Raw genomic sequence first — 27,891 nt, forward strand, 5'->3', positions numbered from 1 at the left:
GCCATCAACTTAATTGAGAAAGACTACAGGTGAAGTAGGCTGGGTGGAGAGGGTGGATAAGGAGTTTGATCTGAGACATAATGAGTTTGAGATGGCTATTGGGTGGAATCCAAGAGATATCAAACAGGCTATTGGATACATATGTCTTGAGTTTGGAAAAGAGTTTTAATAGTAATATAAATGTATTAGTCATTGGCAAGCAGATTGATTTTAAAGCCATGGGAACAGATGTGATTACTAGGGAGTAAGTGTGGATACAAATGAAGGCCAATGATTGAACTCTAAAGTGATGCAAAATTAAGAAGTTGGGGAGAAAAGAAGGGTCCACAGAGGAGACTGAGAAATAACCAGTGAAGTTAAAGGAAAAGAAGAGAGTGTGTTTTCTCGGAAACCAAGTGAAGAAAGTCTTAAAGAATGATCTATTAAGAACAGAAGCAATAATTGACCACTGGATTTAATAACATAGAGATCACTGATGGATTTAAAAAATGTTTCAGTAAAATGGTAGCAGCAAAAACCCAGTTAGATAAGATTAGGGGGAGGATTGGAAATAGCATTTGTAGACAATCCTTTCAATGAATTTTGCTACAGAGTGTTAAAGCAAACTAAATATGGTCTGAGAAGGACTCTGTGCTTCATTTGAGCCCTTGTGGGTGTAGAGTAACCTAGCTTAATAGACAAAATTGAAAACCTAATTTAGGAGTCTGCACCTGTAACAATATTTGAATGCTGGCCAGTCCCAGCAGCCTTACATCACCACTCATAGACTGCTGAATGCTCAAACTGTGTTTAAATAAGGCAAACGCCCAGGTGACAGAAATCTCACTGTTTCTGTAACTCATTTCCGGTTCCTGGATGTCACTTTAACTTTTTTTCCCTATAAATTTGTTTTGACCACAAGGCACCCCTGGAAACTCTGTGAATCTGCTGTGATTCTGAAGGCTGCTGGATCGATGAATTGTTCATTGCTCAACTAATCTCCTTTAAATTTAAGTCAGCTGAAGTTTTTATTTTATCAGATTGTGTCAGAAGCAGAATCTGAAGTGGAGCTTCTAGTATCCCCAGGAGCACTGAGTAAACACAGAAGGTACCTGCGGGATCCACTTGTGTCCACTGATCTCTCAGAGCAGCTGAGGATCAAAGGTAAGCTCCCTCTTGCATTTTGGAGCTTCACACATTTGTGTTTTGAGCTCTCTGAGTTTCCTTGTGCAAATTTGTGATCCAAACTGGTTTTGGAGTTGCAACAGAAAATGGACTGGGTCTAGGAATGAATTTGATCTGGGAATTAACTGGCTTGGATCCACTTAGAGGCCACTAACAGTAGAGGCCACTAACAGCTGACTGGGTCATAAAGGAAGTGGTAGTAAGCAGTAATGTCGCAGCAGTCATAAAATTCGGCTTTGGGAAATTCACAGGGATTTTTGTGTTCTACCCATTTGTTTCATTTTTCTTGTGTACCTAGATAGGAAAATTCATTGGTTAAGTTAATCAAAAGAACCTGAGAGTAAAGTCAGTATTTTATGTAAAACTGGAATCCTTAATTTCTGAAAAACTGAGTTCTTTCTGGCTTATACATTAGGACTGGAAGGCAGAGAAGTCTTACACAAATGGCAAAATCTTACTAAAGATAACTTAGAGTGGAACATTCCAAATGAAAAACAATGCATTGAACTACATTTAAAAATGAGGGCTCTCAGTAAAGTCCCTTTTGGCTAAGAACCGGTTTGGCACTATAGAATGTCAACTGTTATACTCTTTGGCACATTTGTAAGAATTCCAAGTGTTAGGCCGGGCGCGGTGGCTCACGCCTGTAATCCCAGCACTTTGGGAGGCCGAGGCGGGTGGATCATGAGGTCAGGAGATCGAGACCATCCTGGCTAACAAGGTGAAACCCCGTCTCTACTAAAAATACAAAAAATTAGCCGGGCGCGGTGGCGGGCGCCTGTAGTCCCAGCTACTCGGGAGGCTGAGGCAGGAGAATGGCGTGAACCCGGGAAGCGGAGCTTGCAGTGAGCCGAGATTGCGCCACTGCAGTCCGCAGTCCGACCTGGGCGACAGAGCGAGACTCCGTCTCAAAAAAAAAAAAAAAAAAAAAAAAAAAAAGAATTCCAAGTGTTATTTCAAAGGAAATTTACAGATATGTTTCCAAATTTTCTATGCTTTTTTCTTATTTTTGTAATGAAACTGGGAAAAATTTCAAAATGGTTATAGATCTGAAATATTTGGCCCTAAGAAACTAAAGAAAATCTTTGCCAACTCCTGCTCTGAGGTTTCCAGTCACAACTGTTCTTAGATATTTCCTATTCCAGAAGAAAGAAGACTCTTCAGGCATCTGATGACCAAAATAAAAGAAACATTATGATGGTGGTGGTGGAGTGTTCTGCTACAGGCATGTGGGAGGCTCACAGAACTCTTAATATTCACTTTTAATTCATTCCACCAGAGAGGAAATGCATGGGTTTTGGATAGGACTCTGTCATTTATCCCTGTAAGAACTTGAGAAATTTATTTAGTCTCTCTAAGCTTTGGCGTATTCAAAATGAAGACGATACTAACAGTACCTACATCATGAGTGTTACTTGAATGGAGATGTGTAAAGTGCATTTTAATTTCATCTGGTCCTTTAACATTTTCCCTTCACTTCTCTTCAGAGTTTTTTCTTGAAGGGCTCGAGGACTGAAGCATCCCACAAAATGATTCTATTGAATAATTCTGAGCAGCTGCTGGCCCTATTCAAATCTTTAGCAAGGAGCATTCCTGAGTCCCTGAAGGTGAAGGAACAGTGGGAGGTTGGGGTATGGGAGTAGGGGTGTTGAGGATGAGAAAATAACAGGCCCAAGAATCTCGTCCTTCCTGACTTTGTGCAGAGGGTTGGAGCTGGGAAACAGGATGGGGTTGGGGACAAAGGAGGCATGTTAAGAGCTGCTGCTTCTCCTCGGCAACAGGCAACTAGGCCGACTCTGCAGATTTTATCACTCATTTGGAGAGGTGGTGAAGAATGGTGGCTACGAACATCGGTTTGGGGCCAGATTCAATAAATATGCATTGCAAGGCTGCCATTTTTTAGTCAGATATCATTGTGCCTGTGTCTTTAGCTTTCTATGCCTTTATCTTTGGTCTTTTCATTAATAAAATGGGAATAATATTAGTAGCCACCTATTAAAGTTGTTGTGGACACTGAATGAATCCATACAATATAAGTGCTAAGTGCATTGTCAAGTGCCCAGCTACTGCACAGTAGCTCTGTGGTATCACAAGGACACCTCCCTGGGAGTTCTGCCTGTTTGCTGGTGACTTCACGTCCATCAGTATGGTCCTGGAGATGCTGCTCATCACACTATCACCAACTTGGTCCCAGTGCTGTCTCCTGACTTCCATTTTTCTCTTCCTCTTCACATACAGACCCCCATCTCTGGGGATCTCAACCTCTCCTATTCCCTTTCATCCCTCCTTCAGGTGTATGGCTCTCTGTTTCACATCAATCACGGGAACCCCTTCAACATGGAGGTGTTGGTGGACTCCTGGCCCGGGTATCAGATGGTTATTATCCGACCTCAAAAACAGGTAGGCACACAGACAGGGACTGGTGGAGCCAGGCAGGTCCAAAGGGCCTGAGGAACTGTCCAATTCAGACACCATGGCTGCTTTCATAGGGTGAAAGGAAATGTGAGTATTTTAAAACACTCCTTCGTTAATGAGCAGCTTGCATGAATGCCACATGTTAACACTCTTCCCGTAAGCATAAGACTAATTTGGGAAAGGGGTTCAAGGGGGAAGGGGAGGAAAAGGACAAGGCTGACACTCACAGATTAAGGGCCCTTTGAGGTGGCAGGGGTCACCTGCAGGGGCTGAATGGAGGCCAATTTACAGGGAAAGTTGTGTGTCTGAGATATCAGAACAGTGATTTAGAAACAAAAACCAAGGCAGTAGTCTACCAGCAAAATTACCTCTCATGGCCAGGCATGGTGTCTTTTACCTGTAATCCCAGCATTTTGGGAGGCCAAGGCAGGAGGATCGCTTGAGGCCAGGAGTTTGGGACCTGCCTGTGCAACATAGTGAGACCTCATCTCTACAAAAAAATAAACAAAATTAGCAGTGCATGGTGGTACATGCCTATACTCCTAGATGCTCAGGAGATGGAGATGGGAGGATGGCTTGAGCCCCAGAAGGTTGAGGCTGCAGTGAGCCAAGATCACACCACTCTACTCTAGCCTGGCCAACAGAGTGAGACCCTGTCATAAAAAAATAAAAGTTGCTTCTCAGGAACCAGGGAAGGGGCACACAATTACTGTGTGTCAACTGTTTGGAAGCACCTCACTCATTAGTGACTGTCATCATCAGAACAATTTTACAAAGTGAGCTTTAATATCTTCAATTTAGAGATGAGGAAACAACACTGAGAAATATTAAGTCCTGTAGCTGCTGGATACCAACTGTTAAAGCATTCCCCAATCTGAATTCAAGTTCAACGGACTCTGCCACTTTTACTAGCTATATAACCATAGGCCCTTCTGTGAGTTTTATCATCTGTTAAAATGGGAAAAATTGGAGGACACTCTTCAGAGGATCACAGAAGGTTTAAATGAGATACCATATGTCAAACACTTAGTACATAGCACATAATTCTAAATAGTATTTACCATAATTAGCCATTGTTGGCCGAGGAAACACAAGGTATACACGATTAAGCTGAAATAGTAATACAAACCTAGGTCTATTTTTTGGCCCTAAAGGCTTCCCCTTTTTGTATCTGTTTCATGCACATCTGGTTAGTGAACTGAAGCCTCATGGACAGCCCAGCTTCAGGTGGGTATAGACGCTGAGCCCCCACATAATAATAAGCTGAGCCTAACACCTTCCCAGGGATGTTCTTTTGATCTCAAGGTTTCCTGACAATTTCAGATGGAAGATTAATGCTTAGTTTATTTGATCCATGGTCCAATTTCTTCAAAGTGTGATATGCTAAATAACTGTATGAGGTCAAATAGTTCTTTTTACTTCAGTAACTTTGTAGTTACTATGTGTATTTTAACAATGTAACTGCACCATCAAGCTGTAACTTCATATATGCATTGCTTTGAACAAGGCTAGTTTTTATAAAGTGAGTCAGTAAACAAAAATATTAAAATATAAAAGTTCCATGCCACACATACATGACCAAAAAAATGGAAAGAATGAAATATGCTGCAATTTACTTGGAAATACATTCACCTAGTCTGATTCCATAGTATACCACGTTTCTTTCAGTATTGAAAATCGATGCAATTTTGAAGAAGACCTTTTTAAGGTGAGATGCAGGAGAATTTCTCTAGAAAAAAATTAATTTTTTCTTTCTTGGTTTTTAATCAGAAAGATAATATATGCTGATTATACAAGTGGAAAAATCCAATATGATTTTAAGAAGTTAATAACCTCTCACCTCCTTTGCCCTCCTCTCCTCCATTCCTACCCTTTGGGGTAATCAGTGTCCTTGCCCATATTAACACACAAACTGTCATCACTTTTTAATTTGCCTTTGACATATGGACATTGCTTTGAGTGAATCAATACAGCACTAACGTTTTCGTTTTAGTAACTGTGGTGTTCCATAGAGTCAATGCAATGCTAGTCAGTCATTCTCCTCCTGTTGGGTTCAAATTGTTCATACTTCTTTGCCATTACAAACAATGCTTCAGTAAACATCCTTGTATACATGTCTTTACATCCTGGAAACTTTTCTCAATGCAATTGGTTTCCAAAAGGGATACGTCCAAGTAAGAGCTTCTCTTATCCTAAGTAGGCACTGCCAGACTACCTTCCCAAAGGATTCCACAGTATTATTTCCATTAGCAATTTGTGGAAGAATTGTTTCCCACATTCTCACCAGCACTGAATGTTATCCTTCTTCTAATTTCTGCCAAACTGGTGGGTGAAAAGTGGCATCTTATTGTAGATTTAATTTGCATTTCCCTGACTAGTGATATTCAACATATATTTTCATATGATTATCAGTCATTTTGGGTTTACTTCTGAACTGTTTATATTGTTTGACCATTTTTACACTGGGATTTTGTGTCATTCTTAAAATTCTCTATGTGTTTTGGATATGAGGGATACTAACACAAGGTGTATGCTACAAATTTGTTGCCCAATTGAGAATTATTTTCTATTTTATTGATAGATTTTCACATGAAGCAATTTTTAATTTTCATGTAATCAAATATATTATCTTTTTCACTATGATTCCTGAGGCTTTGGGGGTTTTTTTGTTAATAATTAGGAAGATTTTTCCTAATCCAAGATCATACAAGTTGTTTTTTTCATTTTGTCTTACAGTGAGTTTTTACTTTTGACATTTCAAACTTCATTCTATTTGCAATATATTTTTGAATAGCATGCATTAACATTCTTTTATATTTATTCACCTTATGGCTGGCTAATTACATTAGTGCTATTTATTAAATAAGTCACTCTGCTACTGAAACATAAATGTCTATTTTGTCATGTAACATTTTTATATATTTTTGTAGCTATTTCTGTATTTGTTTTAGTCTTTTCTCATGCTATTTCAATGTTTTGTGGTAAATATTAATATCTAATAAAGCAAATCACCCTTCACTAATGTTTTTCTTGATTTCCTATTTCTTATAAACTTAAGAGCTATATGAACAAAAACTAATTTTTCAGTTCCCCAATTCCCCCAACTAAGTATTGCAATTGTGATTTGTATTGGAGGAGTTTTTTAGACAATTGTGGAAGCATTAATATTTTTGTGATACTAAATATTTTTATCAAGAAATATGGTCTTTCTCTCACTTTTTTCAGTTTCTGTTCTATGCCATCTGGTAAAATATTAGTGTTTTCCTGAGGTAAACTACATTGTTTTCTGTCGAAGTCTCTTATATTTTCTAAATGTGTAATACTGTAATCTATAAACAAAGTAATTTGCTGCTTCTTTGCCAATATTTGTATGGGTTTTTAGTTTCTTGCCTTATTGTATAATGTACAACCTAAGAAAACAATATCAAATAACCATAATAATAGTTCTATTCTTGTCTCATTCCTGATTCTAATGAAATAGCTATAAACACTTACCTTTAAAATTACATTTAATTCTGTCTTTACAGGCTTAGAGCACTTTCCTGTTTTCCCACTTTCATAGAAATTATATTTAGAATGAACGGTAAATTTTATGTTATTTCATTTTTGTCTTTTTATGGAAATTTATATACTCATGTAATTTTTTCCTCCTTTAATTTATTACCCTAAAAGATCTTCTGATCAAACTCATTCTGGCCTTTCTAAAACAAACTGTTCATGTTCACATTCTTTTCATATGCTACTGAATATTTTATTCAGAATTTTTGCATCTGTATTCATAAGCCAATATGGTCAGTAACTCTCTTTTTGTTATTTCTTTACCAGATTTGGCATTAGGATCTTTTCATCTTTTACCAAACAATACAATTAAAATTATGTGTTTGGTTTTGTCTTATGTAGAATTGAAATGTAAAATAATCTAATTTTGGCTACTTTTTAGTTTGTAATTTCAACTTTCCTTTTAGATAAAGGGGGTACATGTGCATATTTGTTACATGCAAATATTGCATGATGCTGAGTCTTGGAGTACGGACAGATCCCATCACCCTGGTAGTGAGCATAGTACCCGATAGGTAGTTTTCTAACCCAGCCCCTTTCCCTCCACCCTCTAGAGTCCATAGTGTCTATTGTTCCCACATTTATGTCCATGTATGGTCAATGCTTAGCTCCCAGTTATGAGTGAAAACGTGATATTTGATTTTCTGTTACAGCATTAATTTGCTTAGGATTATTACACTGTGGAAAGTAGTCTGGAAATTTCTTAGAGAACTTAAAACGGAGTTGCCATTAGACCCAGCAATGCCATTACTAGGTAAATACCCAAAAGAAAATGAATCATCCTACCAAAATGACACATGCACTAGGATGTTCATTGCTGCACTGTTCACAATAGCAAAGACATGGAATCAACACAGATCCCCATCAAAGGTGCATTGGATAAAAAAAAAACTTGCTACATACATTCATATGGAATACTACACAGCAGTAGAAAAGAATAAAATATTGTCCTTTGTAGCAACACGGATGGAGCTGGAGGCCATAATTCTTGTCCACTTTTCAAATGGTAGATGTTTAATTTCATTTCTGATATTTCTATTAGTTCACTGAAGTTTTCTATTTTTTGAAAGTCAATTTTGATAGTTTATTCTTGAGGGATAACATCCATTTCTTTATCAGTGAATATGTTGCCTTGGAGTATATAATCTTCTATTATAAGTCTTTTTTCTTTTCTGTTTCCGTTCTCATGGCTCATACTCTATGCCTTTTTTTCTCTTTTCTCTTTCTCTTCTATTTCCTTTAAATGCCTTACCAGAAGTTTATCTCTCTCTTCTGCTCTTTCTCTTTTTCCCATTTAATAATGAACTTTCTACATTTCAGTATTTATGGCTTTTATTTTTACAAATTGTTCCATTAGTTATTTTCTGGTTTACTTTGATATTCTCTTTATAATTCTTTGAATATTTACTTGGCTATTTTAAGACATTCTTTTAAAATCGGGTCTTTTAAAACTTCTACTCTTTTAAATTCACTGAGGTGTTGTGTTTTGGCCATATTCAGGAACTTGCATTTATAAAAGCACCCCCAAATTTTTGAAGGTTTCCTTAAAATTAGTTACACTATTTTCTCTTTTACTCCTTAACGATAAAATTTTCAACATGATATTAATACATTCACTGCTAAAACTCTCACACTTATTGTTTATATTTCCCCTGATAAACAGATACACATCGTCCCATGAAGTTTGTGGCTTGTCAGAATGGGATCACAAGTCTCTTTCTTTAAAACCCATGAGTCCAACACCACATAAATTGTGCAGAGTGCTACCGAAAATTCAGTTACTTCATTCTATTTTGTGGGCTTCTGGCTGTAAAGGCCATGTCACTCTTCAAAGAGGCTGATATCCTGTAGCCTTGGGAAAAGGCAATGTCTCCTTAATGTTTCTATTCACTAAAGTATCTTGCTCAAACCCTGGACACTGCAGATTCTAAAACAGTATAGATTGTAGGTGTCTGGTGAAACAGTAGGCACTAAAACTTAGAGAAATCACAGTTAAATTCATCTTGTGCCAAGTTTAAGAACTTAACCCTATCAACACGGACTCAGTACAACGCAGAATATGTCCCACAGGGGGTTATGTGGGGCACAGTATATATAACAGGGGGATATGTGTGGTCCAGGAGGTGAGAGAAGCAGGGAGAGAAGCAATTGTTGCATTCCTTTGCTTCTGCTGGGCGCTCTGTGATGCTATATATAAAATAAGGTAAGTGTGCGGTTGAGTGGGTAGGGAGAAAGGTGAGGCATCTTAAGGCCTGGTGGAAGGTGACTGATTTCATCCTGTCTTTGTTATGCATCTGATAAGCAGGTTTATAACCAGTACCTGTCAGTGTTCAATATTTAACAAACTCCAGTTAAACAGGTAAGAGGTCAGCAGTAGCTTATAGGCCTTGGTTCTATTATCCATGTGCCCAACTGCAGCCATCGTGGGCTGGTGTTAAAATTTTCCTTTCAATTGTCATTTTTCTAATAATTGCAATCAGTGAGAGGAGAAGAAAAAGTTCAAGGGAATGACCTGACCTTTCACCATCCTACACAGGAGATGACTGATGACATGGATTCATACACTAATGTATATCGTATATTCTCCAAAGACCCTCAAAAATCACAAGAAGTTTTGAAAAATTCTGAGATCATAAACTGGAAACAGAAACTCCAAATCCAAGGTAACAAGTCTGAAGAAATGGGCAAGCAGCTGTGCTTCTCAAATTGTGTCTTCAACTAACAGCATTAGCATCACCTGAGAGCTCATTAGAAATGTAAATTCATAGAAACTCTCTGAGCTGGGAGAGGTGGAGCAATCTGTGGTGTGCCAAGGACTATAGCTGATTGTGGTGTAAACTCAACTTTGAAAACTACTAAGCACTGAGGTATTAATCAGGTGGGAGCAATGTAAGTAGAGAACTGCATGTCTGACAATATTGCTTTCTTGGCTTTCTCTCAGGTTTTCAAGAAAGTTTAGGTGAGGGGATAAAAGCAGCTGCATTTTCAAATTCAGTGAAGGTAGAGCATTCGAGAGCACTCCTCTTTGTTACGGAAGATATCCTGAAGCTCTATGCCACCAATAAAAGCAAGCTTGGAAGCTGGGCTGAGACAGGCCACCCAGATGACGAATTGGAGAGGTACAAAAAACATGTGCTGATCATTTATAATTGCTATTCCTTGTACATTTTTGTAATTCACATAAATCAGTTTTGGAATGAAGAGACGATGAATTCATTCCTTGGGATGAATAAAGGTTGTCAATGGTCAAAATACGCCACTTTGCAATGGTGGGTCTTTTAACAAGAAGAGGGCCTGGGATCTCTAGAATGGAAGGGCACCTAGAAATTACAGGAGTGGGGATGAAAGTTGTTGTCTTTCTTTTTGTTTTCTACAGCGAGACTCCCAATTTTAAGTATGCCCAGCTGAATGTGTCTTATTCTGGGCTGGTAAATGACAACTGGAAGCTAGGGATGAATAAGAGGAGCCTGCATTACATCAAGCGCTGCCTAGGAGCCCTGCCAGCAGTCTGTATGCTGGGCCCAGAGGGGGTCCCGGTCTCATGGGTAACCATGGACCCTTCTTGTGAAATAGGAATGGGCTACAGTGTGGAAAAATACCGAAGGAGAGGCAACGCGACACGGATGATGGTGCGATACATGAAGTATCTGTGTCAGAAGAATATTCCATTTTACGGCTCTGTGCTGGAAGAAAATCAAGGCGCCATCAGAATGAATAAGGCACTAGGTTTCCTTGAGGCCTCCTGTCAGTGGCACCAATGGACCTGCTACCCACAGAATCTTGTTCCGTTGTAGACAATGAAGCTGCTTAGCAATCTTGGGCAAGCCATCTCTTAATATTAAAGCAGACACCACAGAATAGCTTTCTTCACTTACAAATGTTGATTGGGCATTTATGATATGGCAGGAACTCCTTCTCACATGGAGACCTGATGTTAAAGGACACAGCCATGCTCTTGAGGAGCTTACAATCCAAGCTGGAGGCAGGGGAGGGTATAGTCTTTAAATATGCTTAAGTGTTGTAGGGAAGGACAGAGTTACCAATAAACATGTAACTAGAAAGCCAGGCTCAGTTCTTACCTCTGGGAATCAGAACTCTTTATGAAACTTGATTGATAGAATCTACTATCTGGAAGATAATTGAAGAACTTTAATAAAATTGTCAATAGAATATACCTAATCTATATGGATACTTTATTGGAAAGAAATACCCCTGCTATGTATAGATTTATGAGGCAATGGCTATACTAAAGAATGGAATCAGTCTCTTAGTTTAGTGACTAGCAAGGTATCAAAGGTGAAGCCTCAGACAAATGGCTTTCCTAGGCTACCTTTCATCATTGTTATGCAGAAAAGGATCTCCAGAGAATCAAGTGGGCTGGTCTTGCGGCCTCTGCTATGGAAATGACATTTGTTGTGCCTCCTTTCCCCTACTCTTTCTCACTTCCTCATCATTAGTGAAGCATGGCACAGGACAAGGTGTTGCCTGTGAGTCTGGTTATAAATTCAGCTTTTGATGTTTGCAGCACTGCTATCTTAAGGGGTCAAGGGCATTCCAGGGAGAAGAGACCACTAAGGTGAAGACTGGAGAGTGAGTAAGAGTGAGCCATACAGTAAAAGTGGAAAAATCCAGATGATGGAAAGGGCACGTGCCATGCACTATCATAATAACTTTATAATTGAACACTTATATTACAATCTGAATCCCTGATCTCAAAAAAAAAAAAAGAAAAATACTCTTCATGAAAAAAACGTGGCCTCATTTGGCTCTGCTCTCCCACCCTGTCATTGGAGCTTGGATTACTGTGAACATTGTAGCCACAGCAAAAAGAAAAAAAAATGGCATTTTTACTCCTTCTGATAGTCTAGATTTTAAAAAAACAAAAGAAATCTTAATAGAATTGTCTTTTGGAGTAAAGTCTACCAGTATTAAACAACACCTCATCTCTCCATAAAAAATAAACCTCCACAAAATTGAATGTTTATACTTGATGCGATTTGAAAGTGTGCAATTCCAGCACCTAAAGAATAGTGTAGGTCATGGAGTTTTTAAGAAACTCCAATTCATCTTAGAAGGCTATGGTAGATCTGTTACATCTTAGTATAAATCAATCCAATCAGATTTCTAAACTCCTGAGACCTGGCTGATTTGTTACATTGACTGAAATGAAAGCATGGTCTGAGAGAGAGAGTAAACATGTCATTTGGGATTTCAAAGGGTGGAAAATTCTTACCTAAAAAATAAACTCAGGAACTTGGAGTCATATAAAAACAGCTATATTTTGGCACTCAAGAGGCAAAAGCTAATACAGATGATGAAAGAACACAAAGAAAATAAGATTTGCCTATTCAAAATGGTGCCTCGGGCAGGTCCTGTATCCAGAAGAGGATGTTCATCCAGGGTCTGGGGCTAAGGTCATCTTAGCACAGCCCAGCTGCCAGCTTCCCTCCTCTGCCGCTTCCCTGAACACAAGCCAGCTTCCCTTATCTAGCCCTTCTTGGCCCTGTTAAAAAAGTGATTCCTAAACCTTATCATGCACTTGGATTGAAAAAACAACAAGAAAGCATGGGAAAGAGGAAAGAGGATTCCTTAAATATGGCACAAGTAAGTCCAACATTATCAATAAACGCACTAAAAATGAATGGGGTAATTTTCTTATTAAAATATATGTTTTTCATACTGAGTTAAAAACAAAGTCCAAAAAGCATACATCTCTGTGCCCTCACATGGTAGAGACAGAGGAGAGCTCAGACTCTCTTCCTTTTCTTAGAAGGACTTAATACCATCATAGGGGCTCCACCCTTATGACTTAATCTAAACCCAATTACTTCTCAAAGGCCCACCTCCAAGTCCATTGGGAGTTGGGTCTTCAACATATGAATTTGGGGGTCACTGTCAGTACATAAGAAAGCATATCTGAAATAACACACAAGTGTTCACGGAAAGGAAAAAGATATACTAAATGAATGTGAAACTGAAAAGCAAAGTAATACCATCAACACTTGGCAAAATAGAACGTAAGTTGAACATCTGCTAAATACAGAAATTCTCCCACAACATAGATCATGAATCTGCCTCAACACAACACAACTACAAACTATACATGGCAAAAGCTGACGGACATACAAAAGAAAAATGCAAATCCACAGTCTCAGTGGGAGAACTCAAAAAACTTCCCTCAGAAAGCAACAGATGATGCAGACAAAAAATAAAGACAATTTGCCAAAATGCCATCACAACTTGATATTTCTGGTGATGTTGGGGTTATCTGCTTACTGTGTATTTGAGAACTTCTGTTCACCTGCTTGTCAAACTGACCAGCAGGGGGTGCTGCGGAGGGAAACACTCCATCTGGAGAATGCTGGCAACTTGTCTCTTAAGTCTAGAGGCTCCTTGTCCCCCTCATGATCATCACCTATGAGGTGCAAGCACTGCTGATACAGGAGCTAAAAAGAAATTATTAAGCAGTTAGTGTAGGTAAGAGAGTCCTCGGTAAGGTTTTTCTTTTAATAAAAAGCAGCCCCCATATAATTTCTTTTCTAGCAAAAATCAGCCTAAAAAATCAAGCCACAAGCATACATAAGCAAACTAAAAACTTGCATAGCTAAATGCTGGCACCTATGCAAATAGAAAAGGGATACTTGGAAGCCAGGCATCCTCAACATAGAGGTTTCCTCTTCCTATTTTTTTTTGTTTGTTTGTTTGTTTTTTCAGATGGAATCCCGCTCTGTCACTCAGGCTGGAGTGCAGTGGTGCATTCTCAGCTCACTACACCCTCCACCTCCTGGGTTCAAGCAATTATCTCCCTCAGCCTCCTGAGTAGCTGAGATTACAGGTGCCCACCACCACGCATGGCTAATTTTTTTTTCGTGTTTTTTTTTTTTTAGTAGAGGCGGTGTTTCAGCATCTTGGCCAGGCTGGTCTTGAACTCCTGACCTCTCGTGATCCATCGTCCTTGGCCTCCGAATGTGCTAGGATTACAGGCATCAGCTACCACGCGTGGCCTCCTATTCCCTTTTCTTTGTATTCACGTGTGCAGGCGACATGGCACAGGCCAGGTAGAGGCCCCGTTTGCATACTAAAGATTCATGTGGGATGGCCAGGCTCTTCATGCATCACATAAATGGCACACCTGCTCCAACCAACCCTCTGAGCCCTATGTAAATCAGACACTGCCTCCTCAAGCTCCTCTATAAAACCAACCACAACTCGCCCCAAACCCGGAAACCTGCTCAGGCACCTTTCCAATGCATGAGGAAACTCTCTCTTCATTCTTTTGCCTATTAAACTTTTGCTCTTGAACCCACTCCTTTGGTGTCCACATCTCAATTTCCATACTGTGAGACAGCAAACCTCTGGCATTTCCCCAGACAAACGATGCCGCTTCACTGCCATCTCAAGCCCAAGTGCCAAAAATGACCACTTTAGTCTGAAGAATGCCACAGCTGCCACCATGCTGCTTAGGATAAGCAAGGACATGAAGATGGAGTGGGGACGGGTTTATTAGAGAGGCCGCAATAAAAGCATATCCCAGGCAACTTTCCACTTCTTAACTTCTGTCATTTTCAAACTTAAAGGTGTTTTTTATTGTTGTTGGTTTGCTTTTCTTTTTAACAGTTTCTATTTCTGGCCAAAAGACTGCTTTTTGTTTTCCTGCTATGACATATTTATTCTTTGTTCAAAAGTCTTTTCCATGATTTCATATAGGAACTAAGAAGACAGCCATGTGTTTGCTCAACACATTGATCCCCTCTCCACCTAGAACTCTCTTTACTGTTTCTCCCAGGAAGATTCCACCCCTCCTGTTCTGCCAGTTTCCTCATATTTGCCTCATACAATTGCCCTTGTAGGCAGATGAACCCGGGCTAGTTCTACTTTACTATGGACACCAAAGCTTCTGAAATAACATCTGAGTCTTGGGATTTGCATATGAATCTTCCCTTGACACAGCAAACAGTCTTTCCTTTTACCTTCACTAAAGTCATCTACTTGGGAGAATGGAGAGCACTAAAATTCTACAGATTTCAAAAACAAACCTGCTGTGCCTTTCCAGAGTCCTTGGAATGCAAAAGAGAAAATAGGTTAGAAGGGATATTTTCTCCTTCCTTTCTTACCTTGAAGGAGCTCCTATTTTTAAAGGGAATCATTGGGGACAATCCAAAAGAAACTCTTGCAAATCAAGCTTTGCCATGCCATCACGAGAAGGGTAACATGTGTGCCCAGTGGTGAAATTTTTAAATTTTGGTAATGATCTCCAGGGTCACCCCTATGGATAACAAAAATATTTTAAAAACCTATAATGGTGCCAGCCTTTCAGAACCCTGTCTCTTTGCAAGGACCTACCAAGGTCTAGAGATCATAGCACCTCACTAGCAGCCTACAGGCATTCTCCAAAGGTTCCCACCTGCCCCACCCAACATACACACACACATACACACACACACACCCTCCTGCTATCCTTTGGCCCTAGATTTCACCTAACTTTATTCTAAATCTTAATCACCCTGTGCCCCCAAACTCATGTGTTATAGGGCCTTGGTAATCCCTTTCTAAGCATATTCCCTGACTTCTTAAATTCTATTTATGAGACATATATCTAAAGTAAAACTATATTTCAGGCCAGATCAGCACGCTTCTTATTACAATTATAAACACTGAACTTCTTAGTTGCTGGGAAAATATATTGAAAAGGCATTATTATGCTTGTATAGCCATAGATTATCTAGGGAAAAGTATTGAGTGTCTCGAGAATGAGTGAAAATTGTTTCCCCAATATACACCTTTTTTTCTTTTGAAAAGTATATCCTGCGTATATTCAAAAGATAATGTTTTTCAAAAGGGGAAATTGCCTCCACTGTGGACTCTTATTAATTCACTTATCCATCAAGTTCTCTTATTAACTCACTTATACATCATATTCCCTTATTAACTTTTTATTCAATCACTGGTATTTGTTTCTAGTGCTCATAATTGAACACAAATTTGTTTACTATTATATAAAATAAAGTAACAGCTATTCACCGTTTCCTCCTTTACCTCAATAAGTTGACATCTTCCAATAGATTTATTTCCCTGTTTTGCTCCCTCCTCAGATCCAGATGAGTGTGCTAAGTGATACAAAATGCTTTTATTCCTCTACCGTTCAACCCCCTGAGCCCGATGTTTTAGTTCCACGTGTTTTAGTTCCAGGTGTCACAGAATTTCCCTTGCAGTGTGTCTCATCAATTTAAAGAATCCTTCTTTAAAACTTTTCTTACACATTCCCAGAGAGCCTATCATTGTCCATTTAGAGTTAACTCTCTACATAAAATTTGTCAATTTTTTTTTACTCACCACTGTTTCCTCTCCTTATTTTCTGCTCCTATCTGAAATCTCTTTTCCTATTTGATTAAATTGCTTCTTCAGTATTTCCTGCATGTACATATGCTACCGATATAATATCTGAAGACTCTCAAATCCACAAATATCTTTCTTTGACCCTCACAAGAATATAATTTCTGCAGCCTTATACATTGACAAATGTTTGTCTTTTACCCTCAAGTGACTGATTCCCTATGACATCACATTTTAGGATGACCAAATATAATTTTCCACTTTATACATAAGGAAACTGAGGTACAAAGAAACAAGGTAGCCTTGAACTTTCATTCAAGGTCACAAAGCTAGCAAAAAGTGGATGACTAGCGATGAGGTCTTCAGGTTGAGATTAACAAACAACATCACAGGATATAATAGGATTTAACCCAACTTCAACTTCATAAAATGAATGGACATTCCCTGATCTTCCCTCCACTCCCACCCCCACCTCAGGGGATTTCAGGATGCACTGGGCAAAACTGTCTCCCTCCATCCCCAACCGTTTCTCAGGCAGTGACAGGTGTCAAGAACTCCTCGCCGCCCTTCTTGAAGCTTACATTCTGGAGCAGGGAGGCAGAAGCTAAACCAAAAATTAAAACAACTGTGAACATATTCCCTATAAACTCAGATGTAGTATATGAAAACAACACATGATTTGACGACAGAAGATGATGGAGGGAGAAAGAACAACAAATAAATAGGAAAAGAGGCCTCAGATAGGAGCAGGTAAAAAGGAGAGAAAACAGGAAGGGGTCAGGACTGGTTTCCCTCAAAGCCTGTCATTTGACAGAGAGCTGCAGAAAGAAGGAATAGAGCCAAGCACATAACAGGAGGGTAGAGTTGCAGTCTGAAGCACCCAAAATGGTCCACTAGGATGGACAAAGGACATACTTGAACCACCACTTAGATTCATCTTCATCTAAAAAATAAGAAATTAAGTGTGTGTAATATTTAATTATTTAGTACATTAATTACAGTAGAATATATAGAGTTGATGCTCAATTTGTTAAAAAATAGATATCTAAAATTAAACCTCAGAGATTACTCTTGCCTATGACAACGAGCTTCTGAAAGGCAAGGATAGGTCTCACCCATCTCTGTATCTTCAGAATCCATCATATTATGTGGAACATAATAGGTATCAATAGTATGTTGGGGAAAAAAATCGAAACCATGCTGAGCACCGGAATTCTGTGTAAATCTTTTTAAAAAGTCTCTTCTACTTTACATCAGAGTCCCTTTTGTATTTTTAGTATCATCCAGCCCCACGCCTTGCAGATAAGCCCCTAAGAAATGAATGGGTGAATGAATGTGTGGACAGCGGGATGGATCATTGAGTGAGGAGCAGTGATTCGCAGGACCTGCATGCATTGAAATCCTGCCAAAGCAGCCTCTGCAAAATAAAAGACCTTGGGCTTTGGTTTCTGACACAAGTTAAAATTATCCAAGGACTCTCCTTGGGCCACTTAGTTGAGGTTTCCTAATCTGTGAAACAGAAAATGAATTCAATAGAAAGATGATTGAGACAAATTTCTGGAAGGTGCCAAAGCAGGATGCCTGGCATTGAGGGACGCTTCACACCTGTTATCTCTCTCCCTATTCTCTCTTCACCCCTACTCCCGCCCGGCAACTCCCCGCTGTCAGCTCCAGGAATACTTACCTGCTGAGAAAAGGAAAAGCACAACACTGACTTTACCCCGCGACGCTTTTAAAAACTCCAAAACACCCAGCGCGATGGGGAGTAGGTTTCCCTAAAGACAGGTGGAGCAGCCATAGTTAACTTAGAGGAAGGTGAATTGACAAAGAGGGTTGAGCCACTACGAGCGGGAGTTACCTTGGACTAACAGTTGTATCTTCAGCGAGCACAAGTCCTGGAATCTCCCACGCCCATCCCTTTTTTTAGCGCCACAAATGCAGCCTCCTAAGAGAATGGGAAGCTTGGGAGTCAGAGAACAGAAGATTGAGCTACCATTGGCCTTAATGGATGTCAATCTTCACTTGTCTCTTTTTTTTCCTTCCTCGCCTCCTTGCCCCTCCCTATCCCGGTAGGCGCGTTCTCTGGCGCCATCATATGGCAGAATGCGGGACTACACCAAATGCGGAAAGGCACCTTCCCCTTCCCTGAGTATCTGCAAACTCAGGGCTGGGCTTGGTTTTTAAGAGCTCAGCTCCTGTGCCAGGGGCGGTGCTAAAAGGGGCTGCCTGCGCAGATGTCATTCCCACAAGATGCAAGTAAAGAAGCACCGCGGACACCGGGGGAGGGTCACAGAGTGACAGGAGGACTGGTTGACCAGCTGACTGGCCTCACTTCTGACAAATGCAAATTACCCAGCCACAGTCCAACCAAGGGTATCAAAACAGGATCTCTGCAGATGGAGCTCAGTGTTATGTGTTTTGGATGCTCGCAATAAGATTTTCATGCACCATAAACTTTCCTGAGTATCTCAACCAGTTTTGTTGATGCCGGGGTTTGTTCAAAGCTGCAGATTACTGGGCCTCACCCCAGACCTACTCTACTTAAATATAGTGGGGTTCCCATAATCCCCATTTTAAAAAACCTATCCAAGTTAAAGTACAGAGAATCACAAACTGGAAGAACTCCTTAATTTACAAATAAGAAATGGAGACCCCCCCACCAAGAGAGAAAGGAATTTGCCCAAGGTCTCCCTGAAAGAGCCTAAGAAAGCGTGAGGCTCTAAGGTTAAAATCCTACCTGACACCCTTTCCTTTCCCCAACTAGTCCTGTGACCTCTAGCAAACTATCCTGTCCTAATCTGTGAAATGGGAGCAACAGTCACACCTACCCCAACTGGTGACTGCAAATATTAAATGGGGCCACAATGAGTCAACTACCAAGCACCACCCCATTGTAAGTTGAGGTTGAAATGATTCTAGATCGCCCTACCCCCATTCATCTCCCAGTACCATTGTATGACCGTGGAGGTGAAACCATCCAGCCGCCTGTTGGTCCCAAACCATGTTCACCTCCACCCGTGGCTCAGTGACTATTTCTTTTCTTGAAGAGAGAGAGAGGCTCCTTGGAGCCTCTGGAATCTGGAGGGGGATGTTACCTTCCCCCTGTGTGCATTGTCTTCCCAAGATAGGATGGACTACGGGGTCTCCATGTGAAGAGTTAGCTGCCAGGGCATCAAGGATGGCTCCTAAGTGGTTGCTGGAGGCTTAGAGACCCCACTCCAGCTCTCTCTCAAATGGGGGCAGCTTGTTTGCAGCAGTGAGTGAGGTGGGCCCACTACGAACCCACAGGAGGAGAGGAAAAGACCGTCCCATCTAAGCTTTTACATAACCCATTGCAAGCTCCAGAATGTGGTGCCCAGGCCCATATCTATAACCCACCCCCAGAGGCCAGTTCTCCTCAGCCTTTCCTGCCACTTCTGCCATTGTACATCCAGACACTTCCCCTGTTCTCTTCTATCAAACTCCTACTCATCTCTCAGCCATCTAGTCCAAATATTAATCTTTCTCTGTGATATACTCTCAGGGTAGAGGCAGTGGTGCCTTCCTCTGTATTCCCAGAACATGTTGTCTGCAACTCTAAATACAGACATCATCCTACTATTAGGGTTCAAGAGCATCTTTTATGGGTTCATGAAGGAATCACTCTTCGTAAACACTGGCCTTATTCCCTAACTTCACCAGACCTGACCTTAGTGCATGATCCATTCCCACCTCTCCCAACCACATGAGAGGCCTTTTCCTCTTTATGGGTTTGCAAACCACAATATGACCTAACCACCAGTTACTGGCCAAAAGCATTCTTGTCACGTTTATTATAAAATCCAGCCAACAAGATGCTTTGTGCCAAGGGAATGTTCCTTTTCAGGGCAAACACTCTGTCCCCAGGGATGTTAGACAACTTCCATAGCCCCGTATAAGCATTAGCTAGAAATGAGTTTTTCCTAGTGGCCCAACAGATTCCCTGAGCATCCCTACTCTTTCACGGATTCCCATTGCAGTGGGATTGCATCAAACCTCTCAGGGCAAAGCTGCAAAGGGAAAAGCAAAGCTAGAGCTCTACTCTGGACCTATCGCTCTAGACAGTTAGTTTCTCTGTGAGGGTCAGTTTTATACGTAAGGAAGAAATGGAAGATTGCTCCCCAAAACGGCATCAGGTTACTTATCCCAATTGTGTGGTTCAGTTGCTACGCCAGTGATGAGCAAATAAACAGGAAGTAGAAGCACAACTATTCCTAAGCTCAAGAAGCAGGGAAGCTCAGGAATTGGTGTGCAGCAGTGCTGCTTGGAGCGCCATTACGAAGGAACAAGCACGGTCCACTGGGAGGTAAAATTCAGGGAATCGAAGACACAGGGGGTATGGGAAACAAGGCAGGCTTTTTTATTTATCATTTGCCATGATATCTCTCTGTGAACTTTCTTCTCCCTTTTAATTTTCCCTGTACTTTAATTATAATTCTTAGGCCTGACGTGGTGGCTTACATCTCTAATCGCAGTACTTTGAGACGCTGAGGCAGGCAAAGCAACTGAGGCCAGGAGTTCGACCCAGCTTGGCCAACATGGTGAAACCCCATCTCTATTAGAAAAACAAAACTCAGTTGGGCATGGTGGCAAGCACCTGTCATCCCAGCTGCTCAGGAGGCTGAGGTATGAGAATGGTTTGAACACAGGAGGTGGAGGTTGCAGTGAATCGACATCATGCCACTGCACTAAAGCCTGAGCAATAGAGCAAGACTCTGTGTCCAAAAAAAAAAAAAAAAATACAAAACTTCTCAGCTAATGGCCAACATTGAAATACAAAACTTCTCAGCTAATGGCCAACATTGTTACCATCATAAGTCCCAGCTTCCCTGTCTTCCTGTCATCATGTGTTGAATGTCCACTTCCCTCCTTATTTTTCAGTTGGAGTGGATTAGCATCACCAATTCAACATGTCACAAGTAGAATTACACAAACACACATAAGCACCGCAATCCTGGCACACACAGCATCTCTGTCCTCAGACTTCCCCATCCTTCTAGTTGCTCAAGTCAAAAGCCCAGGAATCATCATTGAGCCCTCTGTTTCTCTTATTTATGGACCATCCATAAGCAAATTCCATGGGCTGGCCCTTCAAAATAAATGTGGAATCCAGCCATTTCTAACACTTCCACCATTACCATCTGAGGTCGGGCTCCAACATCTTTGCAATCCTGGGATAGACTCTTAGCTGCCTTCTCCCTTCCACATCTCTTCTTGTCCTCCCAGAGTTTGTACCGCGCACAAACGCTGCTAGGGTGGTTTTAAAAAATATGTCAGGGTATATTTCTCCCTTACTTCAAATCCTCCATTTAAAATAAATTTCACATTTATAGCCAAATCCAGACTTCTTCATATGGCCCACCAGGGGCTTTATGCTAATGGAATGTGCAGATGCTCCTCCCTGAGGAGCACCTTTTACCAGGGCAAATTTTCTATCTCCAATGATGTCAGGCAATTCCGACAACACCATTCTCTACTACCTCTTGGTTTTCATAGATATTTTTCCTCCAGATTCTACAAAAAAAGAAGATCAAGTCTCCTTGTGCAATGATTTACTCTCTGATGTATATTGGTGCCAGGCACGTGTACTGCTTTCAGATGATTCAAGAATAACAGCGATTTGAGAAAGCTGTCCTTAAGTTTTCTCTTCTCCTTGACTGTATGACATTATTTTTACAATTATACTTCCAAAGTTTGCTCTTTCCAAACACCACAAGACCTATGTAATTTAAGCAGTGATTTTAGGGGTCTCTGTATATTTTATATTAATTTCAGAAACATGCTCATGATTATTCCACCAAAACTATCAACTGTTACATAAACATCTGTCCTTCTATGAGTTGCAAAATAATTGTCACCATCCCCACTTAATCAACCATCTTGTATCCTTCTTTGACCAACTTCTGAAAAATAACACCCAATACTAAAGGCATCTCCTTCTATTCAGGGTCTCAGACAGTAAGACGTTCTTTCCTTAAACAGTAAGACGTTTTCTCAAGTCCCATGGAAAGCACTTCTTTGATATCAGTTTGGGGAGGCCGAACTCTGGAGTCTTCATCCGAAGAGTAAAGTACCGCACTCAGTAATGCGCGTCCTGGGAACCAAGCCTAAGCAGTTTTGGCCGCTTCCTCGTCCAGGCTGGCATTGTCTGTGTTCGCCAGCCCCTCCGCGAAGTTAGCTCATTTGCGGATCAGGCCAAATCCCTGGAGACTTCACGCAGACGCGGGTGCAGCCTGCTCTGGGACTTGAAGTCCGCTGGAGCCTGAGCCTCTGCATCATCCGGGTGGAGCTCTCTCTGCTGCTGCCAAAGGATCCCGCCTGGATGCTCATCCCGCCACCGTCGCCCACCCCGCAGCTGCAGAATGGCAGCAACTGCCACACACCTAAGCAACTTGGCTGGCTATTCGCCCTGCAGCTCCCGCCAGCGCGCTGCCCAAGCTGGCAATCAAAAGTCTGGGAAAGCGCGAAAGCGCCACGTGCCTCGCACTCCGCCCAGCTGCCGCGCAGCTCCTCCCTGGCTTCCACTGGGAGACAGGGGACTCCCATGAGAAGGAAGGAGCAGGGCAGTGATTGCTTAGTTTATCCTGGGACGCGGGAGCTGTCCCCGTGGACTGAGTGGCGCGGAGAGGGGATCACTGAGACCGGGAAGGGTCATCCAGACAAATAAGGAGGGGTGCGGGTGGGCGCGCAGTGCCCTCCGCCCGGCCTTCAGACCCACCCGCGCGCGCGCAGGCGTGTGCTCTCATCCTTCCCTTCCCTTCACTGTCTGGAGTGATGATAATTGGCTTCCAAAGTGGATGAGAGATGAGTCATTTACATCCAATGAGGGAAAAACAGCCTCCAGAGACTCTTCGTCCATTGGCCAGTGAGAGTGTCAATTCCCAGGCTCCTGCCGCACGCGGGCGAGCCCTTCTAGGCGGGAAAAGTTCAGCTGAGAGATATAAGAGAGCAGACTTTCCAGCACCTGTGAATCCAGAGCGGTGGGCACTGACGGGCACGTGCACCGTGTGGACAGACTCTCCAGTTCTATGAGTGGTTTTTCTTTTCCCGGGTCGGACCTGGAGTTCTTAAGAGGATGGCTGACAAGGGCAGTAGGCAGAAGGACCTCAGCCCAAAGTCAAGGAGGTTTTGGATGGGGAGCTGGGCAGCCGCCCGTTGTAATTCCCTTCCCGTCTCAGCTTCAAAGGCCAAGAGTTGTACTCCTGAAAAGATACTTGGAGATCATCTGGGTGTTCCTGAATCTCAAGAGGGTCGTTTGACCCTGGTGGGTCCTTTCCCTACCCGGTGCCTTTCTCGCCCGTAGAAGGAGACCAGGTTCGGTTAAGCAGAGCAGAAACTATTCACTGATCAAGGAATGGAGTAGGAGAGCTCCTGCTCAAAGTGCCTGGGGTGTAGTGTGGGGGTGCTCCTTAAGGTCTTTTAGGGCACGTAGTTGGAAAGCAAGGATTCCTGGAAAGAGATGGGGCTTTCCAGAACCAGCTGAGTGTGGCAGTCTCCTATTTGCTGTTGCCGCCCAACACTACATGTGCCTAGCAAGCTGCATTTCTCCCGTAGGCACAGATTGAGGTATGGTAATTAGCAATTGAGGATTCAGGTTAGGGTAGCGCTTCTAAGTTCGTTTCCCATCTTGTAGCACGGTGGTTACTGACATCCAGTCTCTGTTTCTGTAAGCAAGCACAGCTTCAAGCACAGGTTACCTTAATTGGTTCTGGGGCTTTAGGAAAGCATTGAGGTCATCCTGCGGTGACAGAGGCAGCTGTTCAAAGAACTTGGTGCGAGTTTGAGGCAGGGGTTGTGGAGTGAGGCAGGTAAAAATGCAGATTCCATAGCCACACCCCGACATACTGAATCAGAGTCTGTGAGGGTGGGATCTGGAATCCTTTTTAAAAAGCTCAGAGGAACCAATTCACACGAACAATAAAAGTTTCATCTGAGCCAAAGACCTTAATCTAGAAATGAGAAAACGGGGATCCCCAAAAGGGTTACAGGGAGAGGGTTGGAGGAAAGTTAGACTATGACAGTTTTAGGGTGGTTCTTTCCTGGCCTTGGGAAGTTTTCTCAGCTGCTGCTCTGATCAGTACGCAGCTGAATGCTTTAGGGGAACCCTCTTCATATATCCGGAGTTCCCTCTCTGTGCAGGTCTCCCACCAGGGTCTGTGGCCCGTGACCTCTTGCCACCCTGGTCTCTCCGCTTTGTCTCCTCAAATCTAGAATTCCAACTGGCTTTGTCTTGCTGCCCTTCCTTGCGACACTGGCCTGGAATCCTTCAAGTTAGTCTGCTAGCGTGGATTGTAGGATGCATCTCAGTTGTCACTATCCTTAATTGCATGATGTCCAGTTCCTCGCAAAGCGTTGTTTCATATATTTTGCCCATTTTTGTTTTGTTTTGCTTTCAGACTAGGGGGAAATCCAGTCCCTGTTCTTCCATTTTGGCCAGAAATTCAAGGTAATGACTTTTAATATTTCTGACTACTAGTTCCATCATCTCTCTCACTTCTGGATCTGTCTCTATTCACTGATGTTCCTAGTCATTATGGGTCATATTTATCCACTTCTTAAATGCTTGCTGATTGTTTTATTAGATATCAAGCTTTGTTAATTTCACAACTTTGGGTGCCAGAAATTTTTACCTTCCCATCAATATTCTTGAACTTTATTTTAGTACCTTGATATTTTACATGGAAACCATTTTATAATTTCAAAGTTTGCTTTTATTTGTTAGGTGGGAGCAGAACTAGGGCTAATTTTGTCCCACTGTGGAAGAAATACCTTTCAGAGTAGTCTCTCTGATATTTCATGAATTGTGAAATTTTCTAGTCAGATTTTTGTGAACTGAATCTATTCCCTGTCCTGTATGAGCCTCAGAAATTGTTACATCTGCTCCTTTTGGGTACTTCTTTTTCCTGTTCCTTTTCAACAGCTTTATTCCACTCATGCATTGACCAAGCTGAAATCTCAAGGGATACCCACTGCAGATCTCTGATACTATGTGCTCCTGTGGCTCTCTTCTCCCTAGTACTCTGCCATACAAGCTCCAGTCAGCCTGGCCTCCCAAAACTCCAAGCTTGTCTTCTCAACTCAGGGAAACTGCTAGACTCTGCCTGTTCTCTTGCCTAAGATATGCCTTGGAAACTCCATACAGTAACCTAAATAGCCACAGGGCTTACCTCATATGATTTTCTTCTCAGATATCAGAGATGAGGTCCCACACAGCCTGATGTCCAATGATTGAGAGTTGTTATTTCACAGATCTTTCCTTTTTGGGTTTTTTTTAGACATTTCATGTGGCAGAATGAACTCAATCCTTGTTTCTCCATCTTATCCACTAGTAAATATTAGTTATATTCTCTTCGAATTCATCATGAATTCCATGAAGACTGAAGAAAACAAGTCACTTAGTGCCACAAAAGATGACCCGAGGACTAGACCTGAAGTTTCAAAGGTATATCTACTTTTTTACAACTCCTCAGAGGAGTGATAGTCTAACCATAGTGCCATATGAGGTTCTTGGAGATAAGTTCTTAAACAATGGTCGTTATAAGCCTTTCTCTTAGGTAGTTTAAAATATATTTGGGTAGCTCATACACATAAGTGCTTGTGGAAAGCATAATGATAGAGTATGAGTTAATAATGCTAAACGTGTCTTAAGACAACAAGATGACTAACAAATAATATAGACACTTAAAATCATGGAAAGTATAGACAGGCAAAAATAATTAGCTAATGTTTTCTGAGGAAACACTGTGTGCCTGGAATTGTGTCCCATCATATGGATTATCCCATTTAACAGTTAATAGAACTGTGCAGTAGTTATTATCATACTTATTTTACAAAAGAAGAAACTGAAGCTCAACTTGCTTATAGTTGCAGAAGTAACGGACTTCAAAGCAAGGATCTTAACCTAGGCAGTCAGACTACAGAGACTGGTTTTTGACCCACACTATTTTGCTCAAAATATGCAAAATGATAATACTAAATTGAGATATAAACAAGTGATTTTAGAGTACAGAGAGAAGAATACTTAATTCAGACTAAGGAAACTACAGCAGCATCATATGAGAAATGATTTATTAATGAAAAATAAATCTAAAATTGTCAAACTCATAGATGTAGAAGTGGTTGCTGGGCTGGGAAGAGAGAAAAATGGAAGTGTTAGTCAAGGGATACAAAGTTTCCTTACACAAGGTGAATAAGTTGTAGGGATCTGAACAGCATGAGTGCCAATAGTTAACACTATTGTGCACTCAAATTCTTGCTAAAATGATAGATTTTATGTTGTGTTCTTATTACAAAAATAATAAATAAGAGGGCAGGAAGAGACTTTGGGAGGTGATAGATAGGTCGATGTCATAGAATGTGGTGATCATGTATCTTCACATTCATCAAGTTGTATACACTAATTATGTACATTAATTATGCATTTGGTATGTCTAAAACTAATTTATTTTTTAAAAAGAATGAATAACATTTCACTAGTGTATCAAGGATGAAGGAATGGCCTGAGTAAAGTCATGTACACAGGAAAACATATTTGGGGAACAGGATAGCTGCATTTGATGCTATGTAAGGAGAATTCAAGAATGTGGTAGGCAAATAATGCTTTCTATACTGGTAAGGTAGTGTGGTGCCAAGATCACAGTAGGCTTTATATCAATAAGAGCTTTTCATATTGACAGTAAAAATATTTTCTACTTGTGAAACAATAAAATGGATTCATTGGTTCACCTGAGTGGACATTCCAGAATTCAGCAGAGCTCTTAATTCAGTAGTATACAGTTTCTTTGAGGACTTGTTTGTGTGTTCAGTCTCTATGTTCTGCTTTTCATGTTATCCCCTGGCTGGCTTTCTGCATAGTGACAAATACAGCTGCAGTAATATCGGATGTGTTACTCTCCCGATAATGAGTCTACCCTGGTTTCCTGAGGAAACTTCTCTTTGCCATCTTATTGTCCCAACTTAAGTAGCTCACCCATTTCAGCACAAAACCTTGTGACTCCGAGGGCACATATAGATATTCTTAAGCTGTCATGAATTCATTTCCATACATGTATGGCTCCTAAAAAGTGTGAGAGAGGTAGAATAGCTTTCTGGAAAATAGCTGCAGTATCTCCTACTTCTTTGAAATCCATGTGTAGGTTTTTGGATTTTCTTCTGTAAATAGAGGAGACGCGTTTGCCGACTTTATCTCTGTATCGCTTAGGAGGAGTTATTTAATTCACTTTAGACTTTGTTAAGTTAAATATTAATGTTAAAATGCCCAGGGCTATTTTGTTCAAGACAGTTGCCACTAATCACGTGATTTTTTTTTTTTTTTTTTGAGACGGAGTCTCGCTGTGTTGCCCAGGCTGTAGTGCAGCCCCACGATCTCGGCTTACTGAAAGCTCTGCCTTCTGGGTTCACGCC

General features: G+C 41.2%; 1 long non-coding RNA gene and 1 pseudogene across 1 annotated transcript in view, besides 2 other annotated features; one reads left to right on the top strand and one right to left on the bottom strand.

Annotated features, from left to right (window-relative positions):
- Window positions 1-18,409, bottom strand: part of GLYATL1-AS1 (GLYATL1 antisense RNA 1) — a 124,810-nt gene extending 106,401 nt beyond the window's left edge. Inside the window, exons 1-3 of the long non-coding RNA NR_033853.2 lie at window positions 18,329-18,409; window positions 13,414-13,583; window positions 11,217-11,265 (exon numbers count right to left, since the gene is read on the bottom strand). This is a non-coding gene — a long non-coding RNA (GLYATL1 antisense RNA 1). The remainder of the gene's footprint in view (window positions 1-11,216; window positions 11,266-13,413; window positions 13,584-18,328) is intronic.
- GLYATL1P4 (glycine-N-acyltransferase like 1 pseudogene 4) lies at window positions 993-11,976 on the top strand (annotated as a pseudogene).
- Window positions 18,244-18,313: an enhancer, noted in NCBI's record as "active region_4740". NCBI's record gives its function as "activates an Ori minimal core promoter by ATAC-STARR-seq in GM12878 lymphoblastoid cells {active_cell/tissue: GM12878}" and the evidence as "EXISTENCE:reporter gene assay evidence [ECO:0000049][PMID:35858748]".
- Window positions 18,484-18,743: an enhancer, noted in NCBI's record as "active region_4741". NCBI's record gives its function as "activates an Ori minimal core promoter by ATAC-STARR-seq in GM12878 lymphoblastoid cells {active_cell/tissue: GM12878}" and the evidence as "EXISTENCE:reporter gene assay evidence [ECO:0000049][PMID:35858748]".

This window comes from Homo sapiens, chromosome 11 (assembly GCF_000001405.40).
Source record: "Homo sapiens chromosome 11, GRCh38.p14 Primary Assembly".
NCBI lineage: Eukaryota > Metazoa > Chordata > Mammalia > Primates > Hominidae > Homo > Homo sapiens.